Source organism: Homo sapiens, chromosome 13 (assembly GCF_000001405.40).
Source record: "Homo sapiens chromosome 13, GRCh38.p14 Primary Assembly".
Classification (NCBI taxonomy): Eukaryota; Metazoa; Chordata; class Mammalia; order Primates; family Hominidae; genus Homo; species Homo sapiens.
Window position 1 is genome coordinate 21,280,034 of NC_000013.11, and position 26,070 is coordinate 21,306,103.

A 26,070-nucleotide genomic window follows, 5' to 3' on the forward strand; every position below is an offset into this window, starting at 1 on the left:
TTTGGTTCTCTGTTTGTCTGTTATTGGTGTATAAGAATGCTTGTGATTTTTGCACATTGATTTTGTATCCTGAGACTTTGCTGAAGTTGCCTATCAGCTTAAGGAGATTTGGGGCTGAGATGATGGGGTTTTCTAGATGTACATTCATGTCATCTGCAAACAGGGACAATTTGACTTCCTCTTTTCCTAATTGAATACCCTTTATTTCCTTCTCCTGCCTAATTGCCCTGGCCAGAACTTCCAACACTATGTTGAATAGGAGTGGTGAGAGAGGGCATCCCTGACATGGGTAAGTCTTTATTGAAGGAAAATGTTTTTGTATCATGCATGTCTTGTGAAAACTTACATTGTGTTTAAAATGATGTTTCTTGGCCTCCTTAACTAATTTTCAAGCAGATCTTGCAAATGAAAACTAGTATTTTTGAGTTTTGCATACTCAAACTGCCAAAATGTCAGCTGTTTAAACAGTCAAATAACTAAGTTGTCACTAATACTTTAGTGAAGTGATGATTTATTCTTATTTTATAATTTTTATCACTATATATATAGTGATAGATTCTGATTTAGACAGACATCATTTTGGTATACTGATACTGTGGCCATTGCAATGTTTCAATGTATTTCAATAGTTACAGTGCCATCAAACTTAGATAATTTCAGCTTTAAGCACTGATTTATACACATCTTTTCTTCAGGAAAAATAAAGTTTCCCTAAGGCTTTTCACTCTATCTATCTATCTATCTATCTTTATATTTATGAACTTTTTGGAAGTACTGTTGAAATTATAGAAAAGTTCCAAGTTTTAATACAAGTAACTCTTTCCCCTGAAGCATGTGAGAGTAAATTGCTGACATTAGGCCAGCACTCCTGATTACTTTAGTAGGTATTCCCACAAGTCAGGACACTCTATATAACTACAATGCAACCTTGATAATCAGAAAGTTAACATCAAAGCATCATATCATCCAATCCTCAGCTTCTGTTGAGCTTTTATTAATTGTCTGCCATGTCTTTTATAGCACAAGGATCCCATTTAGATCCATGGGTTACATTTAGTTGTTGTGTCACTTACACTCCTTCTGTCTGAACAGTTCCTCAGGTTTCCTTGACTTTCATGACTCTGAATCTTTTGAAGAGTAAAGTTCAAAATAAAGAATGTCTCTCAGCTGGTTTTTTCTGATGTTTCATTATGAATAGGCTTAGATTGTATTATTTTTGGCAAGAGTATCTCAGAGGCGATCCTCTGATCTTCTCATTGCATCCTGTCATTTGACCTTGATTTTGATTTGTCTTATTACTAGTGATATTAGCATTGATCATTAATGGTGGTATCTGCTGGGTTTCTTTTCTGCAGTGTTGCTTTTTAATCTTGTAATCAGTTAGTATATTGTGGGGAGGTAGTTTAAGACTAGGTAAATATCTCTGTTCCTCTTGAAATCTTCAATTTATTCATTTACTTAGATCAACATGGATGCATGGTTTATTTCATACAATGGGATATAATTTGTTAATATTTCTAAAAATTTGTTTTTCTTTTTAGACATGTTCTGTTTTGGCAATTTCAGACTTAAAGAAAAATTAAAAGAATAGGACCAAAAAGTCTTGAGTTCCATATCCCAAATTTTAATATTTTACTGCATTTGCTTTACTCTTTCTCCTTCTTTTCCTCTTCTCTTTCTAGACAAATATAAATATAGGTACATAATATAGATTTTTCTTCCTGAATTATTTGTGAGTCACAGACATGATGCCTCTTTATTTCTAAATACTTTACTATATATTTCCTAAAAAGAAGGAATTTTCTTACATAACTATGGTGATCATTATCAAAAGCAAGAAATTGAAATTGATTCAATGTTAATATATAATCGACAGATCTTATTAAGATTTTGCCAATTTTCCCCATAATATCCTTTATAGCCAAAGAAAATCCAAGATGGGAGATTTTTACAATTCATGATGTGTTGAGTCCAATTGTCCTCTTTCTTTATTCTCCTTTAATCTGGGACAGTTTTGTACTCTTTCTTTGATTTTCATAACATCCATGTTTTTGAAGAGTATGGGTCACTTATTTTACTGATTTTTCTCTCAGTTTGGGTTCATATGATGTTTCCTCATGATTAGATTCAGATTATGTCACTGAGGCAGGAATGTCACACAGGTAATGCTGACTTCTTCCGAATGCAGCATGTCTGTAGGCTGTCACTTGGTTTCATTGCTGGCCAGTGTTGACTTTGATTCTTTGGTTAAGGAGTTTCGTCAGTCAGATTTGTCCATAGTAAAGTTACTGTTTACCTTTTGTATTTCACCAATATCCTGTGTGGCAATACTTTGTGGCTGTATAAATCTCCAGTTACTCCTCAAAATTTCACCCACTAGATTTAGCATTGCATTGATTTTTTCCTTTTATTTTATTTATTTATTTATGTATGTATTTTTGGAGATCATGGTCTTGCTCTATTGCCTTGGCTGGAGTGCACTTGCACAATCTTGTCTCACTGCAGCCTCAATCTTCCAGGCTCAAGCAATCCTCCCACCTCAGCCTCCCAAGTAGCTAGGACTATAGGCATGCACCATCATGCCTGGCTAATTTTTGTATTTTTTGTAGAGATGGGGTTTTGCCATGTAGCCCAGGCTTGTATCTCTAACTCCTGGGCTCAAGGGATCAGCTCCCTTCAGTCTCCCAAAGTGCCAGAATTATAGGCATGAGCCACTGGGCCTGGCTGCTTTATGATTCTTACTTGAATTAATTATGATGATGGTGGCCACATGATGATTTTCTTATTCTGTCATGCCTTCTACATGGATTAAAAAATGAAACAAAACAAAAGCAATAAACAGGGGAGAAGGGAAAATATTCTTTTGGTGCTCAAATACTCCCAGACTCAGCCAGTGGTCACCATTTCAAGCTGATTTCATGTCTTTTGGACATCAATTCATTGCCATCGTTTAAATATTTCTTTATTTTATGGCACACAATGTTCCAAGCTTATCATCTATTTCTCGGCCCCAGATCTGAAATCAGCTATTTTCCTAGAAGACTAGATTTCTTCTGGGGGAGAATGGTATTTAGAAACCAAATTCTGGCCACTAGTTGAGGTAGGTGTGGATATTTGCATTGGGATTGTCATTGCTCAGAGACCTACTCCATGAACAAAGCAGAGAAATATATGGATATACATAAATACGCAGGCATACATGCTTACATTAATCCACATTTCAGTGTCAAAATATATTCAAAACCATGAGTTTTTGCTGATACTTTCTATTTCAATTCAATCCCACATGGTTCATTCTAATTTTTTTTAAGTACAGTTGACCCTTGGACAATCTGGGGAGTAGGGACATCATAGAAATTCACATATAACTTTTGACTGCCCAAAACTTAACTACTAATAGCTTACTATGGATGAGAAGCCTTACCCATAACATAAACAGTCAATGAACACATATTTTGTATGTTTTATGTATTATATACCATATTTGTACAAAAGTAAGCTAGAGAAAAGGAAATGTTAAGAAAATTATAAGGAAGATAAAGTATATTTACAGTACTGTACTGAATTTATCAATACCATAAGTTTACTTCATGTGTTTCTGAGATGAATCATCTTTCTAAAAATGCAGACAAAGCTACAGACCTCAAACCGTGGTACATATCAAGCAAATCAGCTTTTTCTTATATTGTTATGTTATTTCTCTGCTTCTTGGAAGCACTTTATGCATCACTAGTGGTACTTTCTTTGGGTTCTATGATTTACACTATTAAATTAAACATGATGAAAAAAACAAGAAGTCCTAGCTAGAGCATTGAGACAAGAGAAAGAAACAAAGGGGATCTATTTGGAAAGGAAAAAGTAAAATTACCCTTGTTTGAAGATGATATAATCTTATATTTGGGAAACCTAAAGACTCTCCCTAAGAACTGATAAACAAATTCAGTAAAGTTGCAGGATAAAAAATAAACATACAAAATCAGTAGCCCTTGTATATACCAACATTGAACAATCTGAAAAAGAAATCAGAAACTAATGCCATTTACAATAGCTCAAACAAAATAAGATATGTAGGAATACACTTCACCTAAGAAGTGAAAGACCTCTACAGTAAGAACTATAAAACATTGATTCAAGAAATGGAAGAGGAGACAAAATTGAAAAAAATATTCCATTTTCATGGATTGGAAGAATCCATATCGTTAAAATGTCCATCCTATGCAAAGCAATCTACAGAATCAATGAAGTCCCTATCAACATACCAGTGATATTCTTCACAGAAATAGAAACAATAATCCTAAAACTTTCTGATGGAATCAGAAAACACCCAGAATAGCCAAAGCCATTCTGAGCAGAATAAAACTGAAGGAATTACATAACCTGACTTAAAATTATACTACAGAGCTATGGTAACCAAAGCAGCATGGTAACTGGCATAAAAAAAAGACACATGGACCAGTGCAACAGAATAGAGAGGACAGAAATAAATGCATACCTCTACAGGGAACTCACTTCAACAAAAATACCAAGAACATGCATTGGTGAAAAGACAGTGTCTTCAATTAATGGTGCTGTGAAAATTGGATATCCATATTTAGAAGAATGAAACTAGACCCCTGTCTCTCATCACACACAAAAAATCAAATGCATTAAAGACCTAAATCTAAGATGTCAAACTATGAATCTACTGAAAGAGAACATTTGGGAAACTTCAGAACATTGGTCTGGGCAAAGATTTATTGAGTAATACCCCTGAAGCACAAACCAGAGCAAAAATAGACAAATAGAATCATGTCAAACTCCAAAGCTTCTACACAGCAAAGGAGACAATCAACAAAGTGAGGAGATAACCCACAGAATGGGAGAAAATATTTGCAAACTATCCATCTGACAAGAGATTAATAACCAGAATATATAAGGAGATCAAACCACTCAATAGGAAAAAAAATCTAATAATCTGATTTTAAAATGGGCAAAATATCTCAATAGACATTTCTCAAAAGAAGAAATGGCAAACAGGCACACAGTGGCACACAAATGGCAAATAGGTATATAGAAAGGTGCTCAACATCATTGATCATGAAGGAAATGCAAATCAAAACTACAATGAGATAACATCTCACCCCACTAGAAAGCGCTTTGATACAAAAGACAAGCAACAACAAATGCTGGCAAGGATATAGAGAAAAGGGAACCCTCATACACTGTTGTTGGGAATGTAAATAAGTACAACCACTATGGAGAACAGCATGGAGCTTCCTCAGAAAACTAAAAAAGAACTGCCGTATGATCCAGCAATCCCCCTTTAACAGTCTTTGCTCCTGTACCCCATCAGGAGAGGCAGATGCTATAGCCAAGTATCATGAAGAGGTGGCTGAGCAGTTTGAGAAAAGCAGCATATTTCTCTATATCCTGTCAGTTCCAGCTGCTATTATGCACAATTATATGATGGATCTAGTGTGGAAAGATGTTAAAGAGAGCATTTGGGTATTTATCCAAAGGAATGGAAATCAGTATGTCCAAGAGAGATTGGTACTTCCAAGTTTACTGCGGCACTATTCACAATAACCAATATTTGGAAGCAAGCTATGTGACCATCAACAGGCAAACAGATAAAGAAGATGTGAGATATACACACACACATATATATACACACACACACCCCCACAATGGAGCACTATTCAACCATAGAAAAGAATGAGATACTGTCATTTGCAACAACATTGAAGGAACTAGAGGTCATTATGTCAAGGGAAATAAGCCAGGCACAGAAAGACTTCTCATTCATTTGTGGGAGCTAAAAATTAAAACAATGAAACTCATGAACATAGAGAATTGAATGAAGGTTACCAGAGGTTGGGAAGGGTAATGGGGGTTGGGGATAAGTGAGGATGGTTAATGGGTAAAAAATATATCGTTAGATAAAATGAATAAGATCTACTACTTGATAGCAGAACAGTGTGACTACAGTCAACAATATTTTATTGTACATTTAAAAATAAAACAGTGTAATCGGAATGTTTGTAACTCAAAGAAATGATAAATGTTTGAGGTGATGAATACCCATTTACCCTGATATAATTATTATGCATTGATTGTATGCCTCTGTCAAAATATCTCATGTATTTTATAAATATATACCTACTATGCCTCATACAAATAATTTTAAAAAGAAAACTACATGAGTACCACAAGAGGTCACTTTCACTATGAAACATGATTTGCTGGCAAGACGAACTGCATCTGTGGAGATGATGAGCATCATTTGGCGTTTTAAGTGGATACCTGCAACACTTGAGTTCACTGCAATAGCAACAGGAGGTGGCTATGAGATCATTACAATAGTGCAGTATGTACTAGATCTAATTGTATGCAGTTATGATTTATTTATTTTTTATTTTTAAAAGATATATACTTCATTTTTTAGAGCCTTTATAGATTCCGAGAACAGAAATCTCGAAGGCTGTAGTGTCCTTCTCCAGAAGAATGTGCATGGCAGCCTTTAACAGTCCTTGCTCCTATATCCTGTCAGGAGAGGCAGAAGCTACAGCCAAGTGTCATGAAAGGTGGCTCAGCAGTTTGAGAAAAGCAGGATATTTTCATATATTCTGTCAGTTCCAGCTGCTAATCACAATTATATGATGGATCCAGTGTGCAAAGACATTAAAGAGAGCATTGGGAATTTGGGGAGGATGGAGCCAGAAATGGAGCTGATTTCAATAACAACAGGAAAAACAGCTTGTGAAGATTTGACTACTGGCAAATATTGATACAGGAACATTCCAGAGCCAGTTGGTTTCATCCAGGCTCTCACAACCGCAGCCAAAGGAAGGGAAAATGTCATATTTGTTGAAATAGTCTCTAAGAGAGCCCTCCAGAGAAACATGAGAGAAGTCATAGGTAAAGAAACTTAATTTTCTCTTCTCTACAACCAAATAAAGAGTACGAGACTCTTTTTGACCTGGTACAAACTCTATTTGAATCTGGACACAACCTTAACTGGCCATGCTTTTATGAAGGTTTGAAAATAACTCCAACAGTTTACCTAAGGTATCAGTTTGATCACAAGAGTCTTCTGCTGCAGAACAAAATAGCTTACTCCAGTCATCCTCTCACTAGTATTGCAAGTGACAACATAGATTTCAGTTGCTTCAGAACTCGGGATACAGCACCCCATGTTTTTGAGCACAAAACAATGGAACTACTTAGGTTCCTTGTTCCTGTTTTGTGGAGCCTGGTTTGGCTTGTGTGATGGACAGTTTAAAACCCAGAGCACCTCTGAGTACATATCAGGTAAGAGTTGCTTTTTTAGCTCCCCGTGTGGTAAGCCAAAAATTTTTAGATATAAAGATGCAGTTGGAATCAGGAGAAAGAGGGAAATCAGGAGAAATAGGGAAATCACGGCTGCGTGTGGTTTTCGTTTTGGGGGCTCATGAAGCGGCCTGGGCCCTGTGACTCCTCCAGGGATTCCACATCCCAGGTGCTGCGGGACCTGCGGGGGCGAGAAAGCTGGGCCGGTGACAGGAGGGCGCAACCCACCCCATCCCCCAGGGAAAGGGCTTCTCCCAGTTCCCCACCCTCCCAGCCCCCGCCCGGCCCATTACCTCTTCTTCTTGTCTCTCTTGTCCAAGCCAGGGTCCCTGAGCATGAGAATGAGCTCCACTCTGGGGACTATGCCCCTCCAGGCAGCTCTGTGGAGATCGCCAAGATCTTCCAGGCAGACGTCGTACCCAGGCTCCAGGAAGGCGCTGTCATTGTGCTCGGCTCCACAGCCCACGCCGTCCTCGCTGCTCCTCCTTATTCAATTATTAAAACTAGTGAATAAATTCAGCAAAGTTACAGCACAAAATGTCAACACATGGTAATCTGTTGTATTTCTAGACACTAGCAACAAACATCAGAATGTAATGATGAAAACGATTCCAGGCTGGAGGTGGTGGCTCATGCCTGTAATCCCAGCACTTTGAGAGGCTGAGGTTGGAGGCTTGCTTGAACCCAGGAGTTTGAGGCCAGTCTGGGCAACTCAAGGAAACCTGTCTCTACAAATAATTTAAAAATTAGCTGAGTGTGGTGGGTCATGTCTGTAGTCCTAGTTACTCGGGAGACAGAAGAGGGAGGATTGCTGGAACCTGGGAGGTTGAGGCTGCAGTAAGCCGTGTTCACACCACTGCACTCCAACCTGGGCAACAGAGTGAATCCCTGCCTCAAAAAAAAAAAAAAAAAAGACAGAAAAGAAAAAAAATCCATTTTTAAAAATCAACAGGCCAGACGTGGTGGCACACACCCATCATCTCAATGCTCTGGGAGGCCAAGAGGGGAGTATCACTTGAGGCCAGGAGTTCAAGCCAGCCTGGGCAAGATAGCAAGACTCCACCTCTACAAAAAAATAAAAAAATTAGGCAGGTGTGGTGGTGCATACCTGTAGTCCCAGCTACTTGGTAGGCTGAGGCAGGAGGATCACTTGAGCCCAGGAGATAGAGGCTGCAGTGAGCCATAATCGTGCCACTGTACTCCAGCCTGGGAGACAGAGTGAGTCTCCCTGCCAAAAAAAAAAGATCATAGAAGTATGGGTTTATTTCTGGACTCAACATTCAGTTCCATTGATCTATACATGTGTCCTTATGCCAGCATCATGCTGTTTTTATTGCTGTTGCTTTGTAGTAAGATTTGAAATTTGGAAATGTGAGCCTCTGAGTTGGTCATTTTTTTGACATTATTTTGGCTATTCTGGATCCCTTGAAATTTCATGTAAATGTTAGGATCAGCTTGTGGATTTCTGCCAAAAGGACTTTGGGATTTTAACAGGAATTGCAATAAATTTGTAGATTGCTTTGTGTAGTACTGCCATCTTAAAAATTAGTGTCTTCTAGTTTATGAACATGAAGTGTCTTTCCATTTATTTATGCTTTCTTGAATTTATTTCAGCAATGTTTTGACATTTTCCATGTTCAAGTCTGGTACCTTGGTTAAATTTATTCCTAAGAATATTAGTACTGCTGATTGGTTTTTGAGAGAGCCTCACACTGTTGCCCAGGCTGGAATGCAGTGCCACGATCCTAGCTCTGCAGCCTCAATCTCCTGGGCTCAAAAGATGCACCCACCTCAGCCTCCAGAGTAACTGGAACTACACATGCGTGCCACCACAACCAGCTAATTGTTAAAAATATTTTTGTAGGGACAGTGTCTGGCTATGTTGCCCAGCTTTCATTATACAATGTTTAAAAATTCTAAAATTTTTGCCATGAATTACTGTGATAGTTAAGTCTAGGTGTCAACATGACTGGATTAAGGGATACACAGAGAGCTGCTAAAGCACTATGTCTAGGTATGTCTGTGAGGGTGTTTTCGGAAGAGGTGTCATACTGGTGTGACATATCATGACATATTGTAATACTGATATGACACCCGTAAGACCGATATGATGCCCACAATACTGACATGACAGCCATAGACTCATATAACACCTGCAATACACATGTGACACCCCAATACAAATGTGATACCGCAATACAGATGTGACACCAACAAGACTACTGTGACACCAATAAGACTGCTGTGACACCCATAAGACTGATGTGACACCCACAATACTGATGTGACGATGTGATGCCCACAATACAGATGACACCTGCAAGAGGGCTATGATGCCCATAAGACTCATGTGACGCCCGCAATACAGATATGACACCCATAAGACTCATGTGACACCCACAAGATTCATATGACACTCCTAAGACTCATATGACACCCATAATACTGATATGATGCCCGTAAGACTGATGTGATGCCTGCAATACTGATGACACCTGTAAGACTGATATGACACCCCCAATACTGATATGACACCCGCAATACTGATATGACACCCGCAATACAGATATGACACCCCCAATACAGATATGACACCGACAATACAGATATGACACCCACAATACTGATATGACACCCGCAATACAGATGTGACACCCGCAATACAGATGTGACACCCGCAATACAGATGTGACACCCGCAATACTGATATGACACCGCAATACACATATGACACCCGCAATACAGATATGACACCCGCAATACAGATATGACACCCGCAATACTGATATGACACCCGCAATACAGATATGACACCCACAATACAGATATGACACCCGCAATACAGATATGACACCCTCAATACTGCTATGACCCCCGCAATACAGATATGACCCCCGCAATACTGCTATGACACCCGCAATACTGATATGACACCCGCAATACAGATATGACACCCACAATACTGATATGACACCCGCAATACAGATATGACATGCACAATACTGATATGACATCTACAATACAGATATGACACCCACAATACTCATATGACACCCGCAATACTGATATGACATCTACAATATAGATATGACACCCACAATACTGATATGACACCCGCAATACAGATATGACATCTACAATACTGATATGACACCTGCAATACTGACATGACACCCGCAATACAGATATGACATCTACAATACTGATATGACACCTGCAATACTGACATGACACCCGCAATACAGATATGACATCTACAGTACTGATATGACATCTGCAATACTGATATGACACCCACAATACAGATATGACATGCACAATACTGATATGACACCTGCAATACAGATATGACACCCGCAATACTGATATGACACCCGCAATACAGATATGACACCCGCAATACAGATATGACACCCGCAATACTGATATGACACCCGCAATACTTCTATGACACTTGCAAGACTGCTGTGACGTCCCTAAGACTCATATGACACCCGTAATACTGACACCCCCAAGACTGACATGACACTTGCAATACTAGTATGTCAGCCGATACAGCATCCAGACTCTCACCAGGGTGCTTGGTACACAGCTTCCAATGACCTTGATTTGGGTCGGGCTTGGCTTCTGTAATGAAGTTTGATGTTGTCTCTGCTTTACGGACATGGTATTGATGTGGTTGTTTATAATTTACTTTCCAGTCATTTCAGTTTAGGGAGGGTCAGAATCCTGTAGCCTCCAGCTACATGACTCCTAAAGCACAATTTCTAATCTTGTGGCTAATGTTAGTCCTAGAAAGGCAATCTAGTTCCCAGGCAAGAAAGAGGTCTGCTTTGGGAAAGGGCTGTTACCGTCTTTGTTTAAACTATAAGTTAAGTTTCTCCCAACATTAGTTCAGCCTACACCCAGGAATGAACAAGGAGGTTACAAGCAAGGCGGAGTCAGGTTAGATCTCTTTCACTGTCTCAGTCATAATTTTGCAAAGGCAGTTTCAATCCCTCCCTTTGAGTTTTATAACACCTTAATCTTAAGGTGCAGGCTATGAAGATGGGAAAAGGCCGTTGATCACTCTGGCTTCTTCCTGCTGACAGCGGACATAGTGGGAATGGGAGTGAACCCCAAGGTGAGAGAGTGGAACCACTTTGCAACTGTCTGAGCGTACTCATGCAGCCCTGGCTTTTCAGTAGGCCTACACAGAAAATGTGAGTATCTAGCCCTGAAAGGTAAACACGAGCTTTGTGCCAAAATCCTACATGCCGTGGTCTTTTCTTTCGCTGAATTCAACATATTTTGATATTGATCGCTTTTTAAAAACACATTTTGCACAAGCTCAGAATAAAGTATTTCAAACCTCAGTTAGTGCTTTCAGGAATATATGCACATAAAGCCCTAAATGCTAAAAGAAAGATATGGCACAAAAATAATTTATTATTTGCCGTGATCTTTCACTGAATTCAACATGTATTAACTAAGGGCAGTTTTCAAAGACACATCCTGTCAAACCTCAGAAAACACAATTCTGAGCATAGTAGGCCTATACAGAAAATGTATCTAGTCTTAAAAAGTAAATGCAAGCTTTGTGCCAAAAACCCAGATGGTGTCCTGTTTTCTTTCACTGAATTCAAGATGTTGACATTGATCACTTTTCAAAAACGCATTTTGTACAGGCTCGGGGAAAATTTTTTTGAAGCCACGTTAGCGCTTCCAAGAAGATATGCATATGCAGCCCTAAAGGCTATAAGCAACACATGGCACACAAAGAATGTACGACATGCGGCTTTCTTTCACTGAATCACACATGTATTAACTAAGAGCAGTTTTTAAAGACACACCTTGTCAAATCTCCAAAGACACAATTCGGAGCACAGTAGGCCCACACAGAAAACACTGTGCTGGGAATTAAACGTAAGGCAGGGTTCTTGGTGCAATGATTTGTCTACTAAGTCAAAAGTTAATAATACTAGAAACTAGTACTGAGGTCAAATTAACAATGACCAACCAGTGCAAGGCTACTAATCTTGCTTTCTGAATGTAATGCTAGAAATTCATAAACAAAATTGGCATTTGCTTTTTTCCCCTTATTTTCTAAGATGAGCAGCAGAGCTTAAAGATAGATATTAAATAAATTCCCCATACAAATAAGGGCTGGTCATTGCACATATTCAAACATTTGTTCACTTATTCAGCAAATACCTATTGAAGGTTTATTACATGCCAAACTCTATTTCTTCCAGTGATACGGAAGGAAAAATCAACATCCTTGCCCTAACGGTGCTCACATTCTAGTTGTAGGTATATCCCCATGGGATGTGACTGACCTGCTGACGTTATTCTTCCAGGTGAGACTGAAAACCCCTGCATCCTTGAGCTCATGGACGATGTGCTCTATGAGGCAGTAGAGGAGCTCCGCCTGGTACTCGACACTCCACAAAGCAACTCTCCCTTTGGGGCTGCAGTTGGTGAACAAAAAGAAACTCTCAAGGATCCAAGATGATGCTGATAGTAAGAAGTCATTTTTTGTGCTTCAGCTGTAAGTTGGGAAGTGAAATCCATCCAAATCCAGGTTTTAAGGGGTTCAGAAACCCGCCACCCCTCCCCTGCTTTCTGACTAGGGTTTTTAAGCAATTGAGAAATACGAAAAAGACAAAGCAAATGGGAAACAGAATAAACCATTAAAACTGATAAAGCTGATGTTGGAGAATATGGCTTATATCTGAACACTGAATCCCAAACATCCATACCTGCCCTCTCCTCTATACACACCCTTGGGTATAGGGGTACCAACAGTTTCCTCCCTCCCCACCCACCTTCATGGCCTGTTCACATGTACTTTATGGCACATAGGGACAGCTGGGAGCACATGCTCTCTGGGGGCTGGTTAAGTCCCAGGAAGGAGCTGGGCAACACATGCCAGCTTTTCCTTCCACACATACCCTAATTTTGAGGGAGGAGACAGAAGCCAGGAGTGTAATAGTTATTAAGCCCCTCCCACATGGAAACAAACATAGAAAAGGAGGAAAAGCATTCCCCTTACTAGCAATTTCATTTGTCTGTGTTTTCCACAATTTTAGAGACTTATTAAATTTGGAGAAACCAAATTTAACGTCACTGAACCCAAAGAACCCGGAGAGTCAGTGGTTATAAGAATTCCAGTGATTCACCAAGGAGACACTTCCAAGGTTTCCATCGTGAGTCCACACCAAGGATAGCTCGGCCACCTGTGGAGAAGACTACCACCTGTGTCAGAAGCTGTGGGGCTCCCAGGACGTGTCTCCCGATGGATCATGCCAACTCTGTGTGCTAGTGCCAGTGCCCTTGAGGAAAAGAAGAGAAACATCCAATTGAAAAAAAATAGGCACACTCTTTGTTGGGGGGTATAAGTTTAAGGGGTACAAGTGCAATTTTGTTACATGGTTATATTGTGTAGTGGTGAAGTCTAGTCTTTTAGTACATCCATCAATCGAATAATGTACATTGTACCCATTAAGAAATTTCTCAGTACCCACCCCCTGCCACTCTCCCAGCCTCCCAAGTCTTCAGTGTTTATCATTCCACACTCGAAGTTCATGTGTACACATTATTTAGCTATCACTTGTAAGTGAGAACAAGCAGGATTTGACTTTCTGTTCCTGAGAAGTTTCAATTAAAATACAGACATATTCTTTTAAATTTATTTTCTTTAGTAAAACAAAAACAATGCAATTTATTTCCAAGAATTTTTTTCTTTTTGACTTACAGGGTATATGTGTTAGGACTTAGAGAAATTGTGAGTAAATGTGCTAGATGACCTTCTGTTTCGAGTTGACTTTCTATTGGTTTTATCTTCATTGTAGTTGTCAGATTAAATAATTTCCTATATTTTTCTATGTCATTGCAATATGCATGATAACTGAGATAACAATCTATTTTAGTTTAGAGAACACCAGCAATCTAAATCTACACCTAGGAAATGTGGTAACAAAGGACAGTAAAAGTATGGCAAAATATTAATCGCAGAGACCATGAATTCTCTGGGATTTGGGAGCCACTTATAGATGTCCTTCATCCCTCTCTTTTTGCAAATGTTGGGCCATTTCACCATTTCCTTTTTTCTTTTTTTTCTTTCTTTTCTTTTTTTTTTTTTTTTTTTTTTGAGATATTCTTGCTCTGTTGGCCAGGCTAGAGTGCAGTGGTACAACCTCAGCTCACTGTAATCTCCGCGTCCTGGGTTCAAGCAATCTTTCCACCTCAGCCTCCCAAGAAGCTGGGACTACAGGCATGTGCCATCATGCCCAGCTAATTTTTTGTATTTTTGTTAGAGACAGGATTTCACCATGTTGGCCAGGCTGGTCTGAAACTCCTGGCCTCAAGTGATCTGCCTACCTTGGCCACCCAAAGTGCTGGGATTACAGGCATGAACCACCAAACTTGGCCTACCATTTACTGTTATCAGAAATTAAAACAAGTCAATTCTTCTCTCTCACTTGCTGTCACTCTGAATTATTTGCTTACAGAATAAACATAACTTTGTGTCCAAAATTACATTTATGAATTATTTGGAGTCTAATTATTCACTCTGTTTCTACTTTCCTACCTCTCACTATCAAGAGTCATTAGTTCTTGATGATCTTAGCACTTCAGGCATTCACTTTTATCTAATTTACAAACAAAGCTGAGAAAACAAGTGATAGGTATCACTGAATCAGTAACAAAGTTAGTGAGGCAATATAAAAAATAGCATCTTCTACAAAGGAGCTTGTATTTTCTTCCATATAATGGTTATAATTTAATGAACTACTCTAGAGCTTCAAAGTTGTCCCCAGATTATTCTCTATGTAAAGCACAATATATATTTGAAATAAATCACATATAATCCAAGAGAAGAGAAAACAAAACTGATTAGCTACTTAATTGTAAAATATTAAATGTCTTTCTATAATGAGCAGATTTTACATGAAACAAGAATCTTCTAAATATTTTAACATGACTTTTAGCAAAAAAATGTTTTTCTTGGAAGTAAAATGATTCCTTTTGCTAAAACAGAAACAAAATTATAACTATGTAGTAAACTGAAAAATAAAGTCAGAAAAAACTTAAAATGTTAAATAAACCTGTTGGTCTCTTTTATCCCATAAATGTCAACATGCTTTTTATAATGTTTACACTAAAAAAATTAAAATTTTTTCTAAAACATTTCCTAATTTCTCCTTTTAAGGTTCAAACTGAATTTAGTTCTTTGAAAAAAAAAACAAAAAAATTAAATATATTAAAAAGTTGAATTTTTTTGCATGCTAAGAAAGTCTAAAGTGACAGGAAAAGATAAATGTGAATGAGAAAACTTGACCACCGTCCAGCGAGTATACTATGAGAAAACAGTAACTAAAATATTTAAGATAAATGTTGAATTTTTTAAATTCTAAGAAATTTGGTTTGTATAACTCAAGGCATTACAAAACCTTGAATATTTACAGGTCTAAGACAAGCAATGAAAACGAGTGAAGCAAGGACAATATGAAAGAAAATGGAGTGATTGTAATGTCATTAAGCCAGCAAGCCCATTCCTCGCTGAGAAAAGCCTGTATTATCATAGCCTAGTGCCACAGACTACTGCCATGCAGGAAGGTGCAAAAGAACTAAAAAATCTGTATTTTTCTATGAAATTCCAAGACTTTTAAGTGTTAGTAACCAATTTTTCAATATCACATCATACAGGTCAAATCAAACAAATGATTAGCTATTTTCTTCTACTGGAACAAGAACCGTAAGTTCTCTCAGGGTCCGAGAAGTCTGGGACTGATGGGCTCAACTAACATGCGAAGGCTAACAGGAAAAACTGCTGCACCTGGAAACACAGAGAACAAATTTTGAAAAGAAAAAGAAAACATCTTTAAAGATAAAGAGAAAAAAAAATCCTCTTTGTACTTCATAATTTAAAAATTGAAGCAGAAAAAGGAAAATGCGCTGGCAATTCATTTTCTTCTGCCAGACTTGAAAGGGTTTGTAATTTAGAATTATAATGATTGAACTGCCCTGCATCAGAAAGCAGCACCTGTTGACTCTTCTAATTGGGATTATGCTTATATTCTTTATATTTTCTCTTTTGAAACAGTATCTCAAAAGGTATAGTAAAACTAGCAAAATAGTTTATCCAAAGTTTACCAAATGATCAGCTGCTTAATTATGAGTTCAATAAAATCTGATAATTTTAATGTTTTTAGTAATTTTGAAATGAGTGGTTAAAAAAGAATTCTGATTTTTTTTTTAGGATTCTAGATTTAATTTTCATGACAATGAAGCAATCCTTTTTTAGTGAGAAGGGAGTGGGTGAAGAGAAAAAAATCATTAGGATTTTTCTAAAATAACTTGTCTAAGTTTCCAAGAAACACAAAAATAAGTATCTCTGAAATATAATTTGGTATTATATAAAAAACTAAACAACTATATATCCAGCTCTTCTACGTATATACATAATGTAAATTCCATTCACACTCTAACCTAGGATCACATTCATTTGTCTTGAGTCCTATTGGTTTAGAAATTCTGGGGAATAAGAGGTTAATTTTTCTGATTATATCCCAACATTAGAACTACTGATTGTCCCTCCCGTAATTCAGCATCTTTTCAAACTGTGGGCCAACAAATCAATATCTTATTATTAAAATAATAAGACTTGAATCTCTACTTGTTTTCTAGGATCGCCCTAATAAAGTACACAAACTGGGAGGCTTTAAACAACAGAAATGGACTTTCTCACAGTTCTGTAGGCTGGAAGTTTGAGATCACCGCAGCAGCTGGGCCGTGCTCCCTCCAAAGGGGCTAAGGGAGGATCCGGCCTTGCTGCTTCCAGCTTCTGGCAGCTGGTGGCAGCATCACTCCAGTCCCCGCCTCCATCTTCAGGTGGCTGTCCTCCTCCTGTATCAGCCAAATTTTCCTCTTACAAGGACAGCTTCCCTAATCTAGTATGACCCATCTTAATCATATCTGCAAACTCCCTATTTTCAAATAAGGTCACATTTACAGGTACCAAGGGTTAGGATTTCATCACCTTTTTGGGGAGACACAGCTCAACCCGTAACAATCCGCCCTCTGGTTCCCAAAGTTGATTTCCTTCACCTGTGCAAAATACATTTTCGCCCCATGTCAACATTTCCAAAAGTCTTAACACTTTCCACATCAACTCTTCTCACCATCTACATCATTTAAGTTACAGAGGAGACCTACTGTGATTCATCCTGTGGCAAAATTTCTCTCCATCTGTGATCCTGTGAAACCAGACAAGTTAATTGGCTTTTAAAAGACAGTGGGGGCCAGGGGCAGGCATAGGACAGACAGTCCATTCCAAAAGAGAGAAAGGGGAAGGAAAAAAGGGATCATGGGTCCCAAGTAAGTCTGAAAGCCTGCAGGGAAAATCCCATTAGACTGCTTTCACTATTTTCCATCTAAAATTTTTAAATGAGCTATGCAAGAGTAAAAACAAGTTATCCGACAGAGAAACTAGAGTTAGAAGTGCAGGATGAATTTACCAAGAGAGTAGGTTAAAAGGGAAACTTCTCCTTCAGGCCTATGGTGGGCATTTCTTGTTTACTCAAGAACCTACCATCTCTCACAAAATAATGTCCACTGGAATTCGATTATGTCATGATTTTGCCTGCCCCCGCGCCCCCAGTCACAGCAGGAGGGAAGCGCAACCCTAGCCTTTCCTTACTCTAGAGACAGGAGGCGCTATGCAGCGACGGCGGCAGAGAAAGCGTGGGAGCGACGCTCTTGCTCTGGACGCCGACGTGCCCACGTCGAGGCCGCGCCCAGACCCGGAGGCGGGGCCGTCACGTGGGGCAGCGTGGGCCGCTGCCTTGGAAACGCAGAGCGCGCGCTCCAGGTAAAGGCTGCTACGCCCAGGACAGGGTTCTCACGGTGGAGGAAAGGACTTCTGCGGGATACCACGCTGTGCGCCAAAAAGCCGGGCGGCTTCGGAGCCAGAGCAGCGGCTCTGCGGCGCAGGCGGCGGGTCGGGGCAGCCTTGAAGCCGGGATCCGGCCCGAAGGGTGAGCACCAGCTCGTCTCCGGTGGGCGCCGCCTTCAATGTCAAGTTCCAGGGCAGTCGCTTGGACCCGTTTGGCGAGCGCGGAGTGAGCGGCGCAGGAGGAGCTCCCCTAGGTCCCGGAAGAAAGCCGGCCCCTGCTCCGCGCGGCCAGCGACACTCAGAGCGAGATTGTTTGGGCCTGGGAGGAGGCAGGCAGCGAACCCAACTTGTACAGTGGGGTCTTGTGTGCGCTCTCAGTGACAGGCAAGGTTACCTCTGCTTTGAGGGGCCGGGTTTAGTGGTCTTCTCCCCAGAGTGTTGGATCTAGGAACTGCCTGCGTTAGCCCCTTGCTCCACGTGAATCTGAATAGTTCGTCCTGGCAGTGGCGGTGAATTTGGCTTGCCAGGACCCGCCCTCTGCCTACACTCAGCGGCACCCCGGCTAAAGCCCTTTAGCTCCATCGCTACAGGCCTGTCTTAAGAGGCCTCTTTATACCTGTGCCTTCACAGGCGGCATCACATGGTCTTTTTCCAAGGACAAGGCTGCCTGCAGTCAAGTAATAGTAATTTAATTGATACCTGAAATTCCATCACCTATTAATTTATTTCAAAGCTTTGGGCTTTCTTGTTTTAAGACACAAAACTCTGTTGAGACGAGTCTGACTTCATATAGTGCCATGGAATTGGCCACTTTGATTTCTTACCCCAGGAAGTCACTAGACTGCATTGTTTGCTTCTTATTTATATGTACCATGCCTAGTGTCGTACCTGGCATTCAGTAGGCACTCAGTAATTGTTCAGTGAGCGAATGAAAGGTGAGAGGAAGGCAAAGTTGGAAAGGACTTACCTGATGCCTGTTCTACTTGGAGTTTGTACATTTTGTCCATTTTAGTTAAGGATTACTTTTATTTTTGCCTTTTAAAATTTCATTATACTGTATTGCCTTATAAAGAGGAGTCTGGGGTATTGTTGCACTGAGCTAAAGGGTGTATAATTCTTGTTTTATCTCCGTTATCAGCTTTGTCGATTTTAAAATTATTTTGTGTGAAATTTGCTACACCACCTTCCTTAAGGGTATGTAGTGTTGGTATTAACATAGTTGGTGTGAGAACTACTTGTAGGCGCTGAGCAGAAAGACGTGAGGGGAAGCCTGATTTTGGGTAGATGAGATATAACTAATTTTAGCTTTATTTTTCTCTTTTGTATCATGATATTCGGCACTAATAGCAGATTTTCAAATTTTAGAGTTGGTTTTTGCCTTGAAAAAAAAAGGTTTATTCAGTTTTTTAGCATTACGGTCACTGGTAATCCGAGAGTTAGAATTCCTGAGAACAATATGGGCAGGTTGTACTGGGAAGTGGAAGTAGTCTGTGCTTGAATCAAATTAAATCACTATAAAGATGACATTTGTGTTTGGTTCTGATTCTGCTTTGTCCCCCACTGACTTTCTTTTTTTTTTTTTTAATTTGTAATATATTTTGAAGAGAGATTGCTAGCTTAACTTCATCCATCCCTTCTTGTAGAAACAGTAGGGCTTGTCAGGCCTGAAGGTTTACCTGTTGGTATTTCTGAAAATCTATGTGTTAAGCACCTACAAAGTGAATTAACAAAGCCTAGCATCTGCTCCGGTCACTTGTTTCTTTCATTGAGTTCCCCCATGTGTTAGACATTCTATTGGATAGCTGGTTAAAGAAATGAAGGGCAGGGCTCTTGGGTCTGGAAGCTCACCTTTTCAGGAGAGAAGACTTTCAAACAGATAAATTGTAATAGAGAAGTATGGAAAAGTGTGGGCTTTACAGATGTACAGAGCGGGTTCGAGTTCTGTCTTTCCCAATATTAATTTGTGACCTCAAACAAGTTTTTTCTAACCTCTTAAAGCATGTGTCCTGATCTGTGAAAGAATGATACTCTGTTCTGTAGGATTGTGTGATTTAAATGAGAACCTATGTAAAGTAGCAGGTACACTTCATGGTATGCGGTAGGTGCATATTAAATGCTTTCTTTCCCTGCCTTCCTGAGTGTGCTAACAAGTGGGATTGAATAGGTAACAAAAGAATGGTCATTCCCATTAGATCAGTGATTTTTGTTTTTATCAAGATATTGAAATGTCTTTGGAACGTATAAAATTTGCTCCCAGTTTCAGCCTATGATTTTAATATGTTCATTAAATTTTTCTAAAATATTTATTGCTTCATAGTGAACTCATCCTCTCTGATAGTTGTAGAATAATTGGTACTATGTACTGAGATCTCACTTTGTCAGATGCTGCTGTTAGTACTTTACATATACTTAGTACCTGTATCCATGCTGTAAGGTATGTATCGTCATTCCCATTGTACATGATGAAAAAAATATGAGGCCTAGGAGGAGAAATAACATGACCAGGGTTATAAGCTAATAATAATTATGGCTAACATCTGTAAATGCTCTGTGCCAAACACTGCTTTATATATATATATATTATTTCATTTAATCCTTGTGGCCACTCTTAGGTTCTGTAGAAGTGACAGAGCTGGATTTTGAACCCATACCATTCAGTTTTTGTTTTTCGGAAAAATAATTAAAAATTGAAAAAAAATTGGCCGGGCGTAGTGGCTCAAGCCTGTAATCCCAGCACTTTGGGAGGCTGAGGCGGGCGGATCACCTGAGGTCAGGAGTTGGAGACCAGCCTGACCAACATGGTGAAACCCCATCTCTACTAAAAATACAAAAATTAGCCAGGCGTGGTAGTGCGCTCCTATAATCCCAGCTACTCAGGAGGCTGAGGCAGGAGAATCGCTTGAACTCGGGAGGCGGAGGTTGCAGTGAGCTGAGATCACGCCACTGCACTCCAGCCTGGGTGACAGCGTGAGACTCCGTCTCAAAAAAAAAATTAAAAATGATGTTATGAAATCATTTTTGGTGTAATTTATGTGGGGTGATATGAGGAGTATGATAGTGGTGTTCGTGATCACAGGTATAACATGATATACCAATGAAAGTCAAGATTTGCTTTGTGACAAAAGTAATTTTAGTAAATATTTAAAAAGCACAATTTTGAATTTTGGTTGTAAATTGGACGTATTCCTTGGTTCTAAGGGTCTTTTTGGAGTTCCTGAGCTCAGTGCCCCAGAAGGCACATACTTCATATGAAATATGAAGGATTTCATACTGCACAAGAAAAAGCCTTGAGAAAGACAGAATTGCTTGTGGACCGTGCGTGTTCCACCCCACCTGGGCCCCAGACCGTGCTGATCCTTGATGAGCTCTCGGATTCCTTGTGCAGAGTGACCGACTTGGTAAGATGCTTTGCCTCAGACTTGAAGCTACCTCTCTTTCAACCTGTTAAAATTTAAGTGAAATTTATCCTTTGTTGTTTACTGTTAATATTAGATTATAAAGTTAAAAATGTCTGAAACTATTTGAGATCCATTGGGTATAATTTTTTGTGATGAAATACATCATTAGGAATGGGGAAAATGTTATAGGAAAAGGTGACATTTAGAACTTGTACTTTAATATGTGTATTTAATAAAATATACCTGTAATATATAATGAATGAATGATTACTGATATGGCAAATATTTGCTATATTTGGGTAATATATATTTACATATATATTCATTTGACAGAGATTCTTTATTTATGAAAGCTTCTCCCAAAATTCTAAGAACACTTTATGTGTGCATTTACAACAAAATTCCTCTTTTTCTATCTTTTTTTTTTTTTTAATAGAGACAGGGTCTCCCTGTGTTGCCCGGGCTGATCTTGAACTCCTAGCCCCAAGTGACCTCCTGCCTTGGCCTCCCAAAGTGCTGGGATTATAAGTGTGAGCCACTTCTTTTTCATAAGAGGTGTGAAAACCAGTTTTCATAAACCTTTTCAGGAATGCTTTTTTTTTTAATTAAAAACCAAGTTTTCACATCAAAATGATTGTAAAGACTTTTTTTTTTAACATTTTAAATTTGAAATAGAAGTGTATACCTAGATCTCTTCACCAACTAGGAAATCCATTGCTGAGATAGCAAAATTTTCTTTTTCTTTTTTTATTTTTAATTTTTGTGTGTACATGTATATATTCATGAGGTACATGAGATGTTTTGATAGAGGCATACAATGTATAATAATTACATCAGGGAAAATGGGGTGTCCATCCCCTCAAGCATCCTTTGTGTTACAAACAATCCAATTATACTCTTCTGGTTATTTTAAAATCTACAATTAAATTATTATTGACTGTAGTCACCCTGTTGTGCTATCGAATAGTAGGTCTTAGTCATTCTTCCTGTTTTTTTGTACCCATTAACCATCCCCACCTCCCCCATACCACCCTGCTACCCTACCCATCTTCTGGTAACCATCCTTCTACTCTTTATTTCCATGATTCAATTGTGTGTATTTTTAGGTCCCACAAATGAGTGAGAACATGCGATGTTTGTCTTTCTGTGCCTGACTTATTTCACTTAATGACCATCCATGTTGTTGCAAATGACACAATCTCTTTTTTTTTTTTTTTTTTTTTTTTTGAGATGGAGTTTTATTCTTGTTGCCCAGGCTAGAGTACAATGGTGCAGTCCCAGCTCAACCTCCATCTCCTGAGTTCCAAGCAGTTCCCCTGTCTCAGCCTCCCGAGTAGCTGGGATTACAGACATGCGCCACCATGCCCAACTAATTTTTTTGCATTTTTAGTAGAGACAGGGTTTCACCATGTTTTCCAGGATGGTCTCGATCTCTTGACCTCGTGATCCACCCGCCTCTGCCTCCCAAAGTGCTGGGATTACAGGTGTGAGCCACCATGCCTGGCCATAATCTCATTCTTTTTTTATAGCTGAATGGCACTCTATTGTAAGTACCACATTTTCTTTGTCCATTCATCTGTTCATGGACACTTGGGTTGCTTCCTAATCTTGGATGTTGTGAACAGAGCTGCAACAACCATGGAAATGCAGATATCTCTTCTATTTGCTCATTTCCAGGAAGCAGGATTTTCTATCAGCCTGAAGGAGCCGACTCTTGGTTACTCATGTCAAGGAAAACACACACAATTTAAATAGTGATCATTTATGATCTTGTCTACATAGTATTGAACTACATAGGTTTTTCCCTCACATTCAGTCAATGTTGAGCACCTACTGTGTGCCAGACACTGTCTAGGCACCAGGGATACATGCAGGAATGAAACCGACACAATCTGTTACTTCACGGAGTTTATATTCTGGCATTAACTTGTTTTTGAAAATTTAGGCTGTAGGCCCTTTCTACAGCCTAGTTAGCTGAAGAAGCTTTCTCTGGATGAGCTGAAGTAACCTTCTCAGCATATCTCCATTTTCACAAGAGGGAAGAAAGGCACTGGGTGATGAAGGGATGTGCCCGCTGTCAGCTGGCCAGCTTGTGGTGCAGCTAGCTGCCAGCCCAGGCAGGGTATCTGTCGAGCTCTTCTTCTTTCTCCTGTTCCAACCATTTCAGGGCTGGCTGGCTGCTCAGGTCTCATGAATCCTTACCTGGAAAGGTTGCAAAGTTTGTTAGCCTCTCCATCTTTAAAAAAAATGTATACTTGTTTTTAAAATTATTATACAGTAAAATTGACTTCTTTTGGAGGATGGTACAGTTCTATGAATTTTAACTCGTATAAATTTGTGCAGCCCTCACCACAATCAGGATACAAAGCTGTTCCATCCACCCCCAAAAATCTCCCTGTATAGCCACACCCCCCCCCGACTAACCTCTGGCAACCACTAATCTGTTCTCTCTCCCTATAGCTTTGCCTTTTCTAGAATGTCACATAGGTGGAATCCTGTATACCTTTGACTGACTTCTTTCACCCAGCATAACTCATCCCCATCTTTATTTTTTTTCCTTTTTTGGAAAATTTCCTTCCACCCATACACCTGATTTGAGCATTAACACCTTTCAGATGATTATATGTTCACCACAAGCCTCCCGCTCTTAAGGAAACTGATAAAGTATCTTATTGTAAAGGGTTTTTCTCTGGAGTGAAGTTGCAGGCTCTGGGTAGTTCTGTTGTGCTGGGTTTTTGTTCTGTGCCTCCCGTATGTGCATAGGAAATGTGTCTTTGAATGATGGGGGAGCTGTGGAACGCACTGCCAAAAGGAGGTTTCATACCCTGTTCACCTGATTGTGTCACAGAAATCAGAAAAGGAAAATCTGTGTCAGTGAATTTCACTATTCAAGTACAGTCAACCCCTCCAGATTCGGGCATCTGTAGAGTCAACCAACCTTGGATCAAAAATATCTGGAAAAAAAAATTGCATCGGTACTGAACACATACAGACTTTTTTCCTTGTCGCTGTTGCATGAAATAATACAGTGTAACAGCTATTTACATATTATTTACATTCATTAGGTATTACAAGTAATCTAGAGATGATTCAGTGTAAGGGTTGTGCTGTGTGTCAGTTATATGATTTGATGTATGGAGTGTGCTGTGCGTCAGTTATATGCAAGTACTACACCATTTTATATCAGAGACTTGAGCATCTGTGGATTTGGGTATCTGTAGGAAGATCTAACCATTGCCCACTGATACTGAGGGGTGACTGTTGGCATGGCTGTCACAAATCCCAGAATTCACTGTGTATTTGTTGTCTTAGTCTTCATCTTAATCAGTATTCTAGGATTTTTTTCTACATTTTTGCTTGTGGTCTTCACTAAAATATTTTAACTTTTCTGCCCTGTATCTTATCTTATTTTGACATTTTTAATATTATGTATAATATCTCATTTTGAAAACTTAAAAAAAAAAAAAAACTATGTGATTTATATATGTAGTTCTCCGGGTAAAAAAGAACCTTTCTCCTTTTTGAATTTTTGAGATGTTACCTACCAGTAATGTTGGTACTATTATAAGGCAATCGTCTTATAAACTTTTTCACTAAATAGTCATTTTGTTTTCTTTGTTTTCAACACAGTTTTTACGTAACAGAACTGTTTTCCTCATCACTATTAGAAATCAGTTGTTAATGTGCATGCTAGTGTTTTGAATTTTAATATTGATTATAAATTCACATGTAGATTAGTAATTTGTAAAAAAAAAAATGTAAATTTATGTAACTCATTTTTCAGATACTTTGGTACTAATGTTATTTTATCGTTACCAATTCTTACAACAAATATACCAAACTATGGATTTAAATGTTTTGGCATTAAAAACTATTTGATAATAAAATCAGGAAATTTTACCTTGTGGTGATTTTATTTCATGTTATAGTCACACATCTTCTTGGCAAATAAAATATGTAGTGTTTTGTAGTTTCTCTGCTTTTTGTTACAATTGACATGAAAACGAAAATTTAGTTTTACATCATTTTATCTTTTTAAAAAAATTGTTGCTCATTTTAATTTCTAATGACTTAAGTAGCAGCAGCAGTAGTAGTTGTACACAGTATTACATGGAGACTGAACTCATATTTTATTAAAAGGACTAAAGAGACTGTGCCTTTGTTTTCTGCACAAAGACTAGAATGTAGTTAAAGACTAAAGTGTAGTTAAATGAGTTTTGAAACTATACTATGTGTCAGTTAAAGAAAACAAGCCTCTAAGAGTTGTTTTTTGGAGCTAGGTTAACCTGTGAGAACCATACTGCAAAGAATTTTAGCCAGAAAGTTGTAGAATATTTGAAACCAGTGTCTGCTCTTTTGATTTAATAAAGGGTTAGGAAGAATTTGCTTGGTGTTTATATTTGAAGGAGAAAAACTTTTCTGAAACAAAGTTAATAAAATTATTTTTTTTGGAAAGAAACAAACTTGGTTTCAAGGAATAACAGA

At 38.8% G+C, this 26,070-nt stretch overlaps 3 long non-coding RNA genes and 1 pseudogene across 16 annotated transcripts in view, besides 2 other annotated features; 2 read left to right on the forward strand and 2 right to left on the reverse strand.

The window, feature by feature from the left end:
- The window catches only part of LOC105370105 (uncharacterized), a 32,756-nt gene extending 20,021 nt beyond the window's left edge, over positions 1–12,735 (forward strand). Inside the window, exon 4 of one of the 2 annotated variants that reach the window (XR_001749768.3) lies at positions 12,648–12,735. This is a non-coding gene — a long non-coding RNA (uncharacterized LOC105370105). Of the gene's footprint in view, positions 1–235; positions 263–12,647 lie in introns of those variants that run through there. The other variant, XR_001749771.1, reaches the window with a different exon arrangement.
- On the reverse strand, positions 3,454–18,058 carry LOC101928764 (coiled-coil domain-containing protein 144B). 10 transcript variants are annotated; one of them, NR_172129.1, is made up of 6 exons: positions 17,811–18,058; positions 15,998–16,129; positions 13,470–13,622; positions 12,627–12,758; positions 7,602–7,793; positions 3,454–7,489 (listed from the first exon to the last, which is right to left on the reverse strand). It is a non-coding gene; the product is annotated as a coiled-coil domain-containing protein 144B (long non-coding RNA). The 10 variants fall into 10 exon arrangements; NR_172130.1 differs by lacking the exon at positions 17,811–18,058 and adding an exon at positions 17,042–17,123; NR_170115.1 differs by lacking the exon at positions 15,998–16,129 and having other exon boundaries at positions 13,546–13,622; positions 17,993–18,058.
- Positions 17,764–17,863: an enhancer, noted in NCBI's record as "active region_7434". NCBI's record gives its function as "activates an Ori minimal core promoter by ATAC-STARR-seq in GM12878 lymphoblastoid cells {active_cell/tissue: GM12878}" and the evidence as "EXISTENCE:reporter gene assay evidence [ECO:0000049][PMID:35858748]".
- A 33-nt stretch (positions 18,059–18,091) lies between the features above and the next one.
- Positions 18,092–26,070, forward strand: part of MIPEPP3 (mitochondrial intermediate peptidase pseudogene 3) — a 94,799-nt pseudogene continuing 86,820 nt past the window's right edge. For both annotated transcript variants that reach the window (NR_046461.1, NR_038939.1), the window contains exons 1-2: positions 18,092–18,329; positions 21,386–21,585. The product of NR_046461.1 is annotated as a mitochondrial intermediate peptidase pseudogene 3, transcript variant 2 (transcript). The remainder of the gene's footprint in view (positions 18,330–21,385; positions 21,586–26,070) is intronic.
- Positions 18,354–18,433: an enhancer, noted in NCBI's record as "active region_7435". NCBI's record gives its function as "activates an Ori minimal core promoter by ATAC-STARR-seq in GM12878 lymphoblastoid cells {active_cell/tissue: GM12878}" and the evidence as "EXISTENCE:reporter gene assay evidence [ECO:0000049][PMID:35858748]".
- LINC00539 (long intergenic non-protein coding RNA 539) overlaps positions 23,479–26,070 on the reverse strand; it is a 41,348-nt gene continuing 38,756 nt past the window's right edge. For both annotated transcript variants that reach the window (NR_103841.1, NR_103840.1), the window contains one exon: positions 23,479–23,787. This is a non-coding gene — a long non-coding RNA (long intergenic non-protein coding RNA 539). The remainder of the gene's footprint in view (positions 23,788–26,070) is intronic.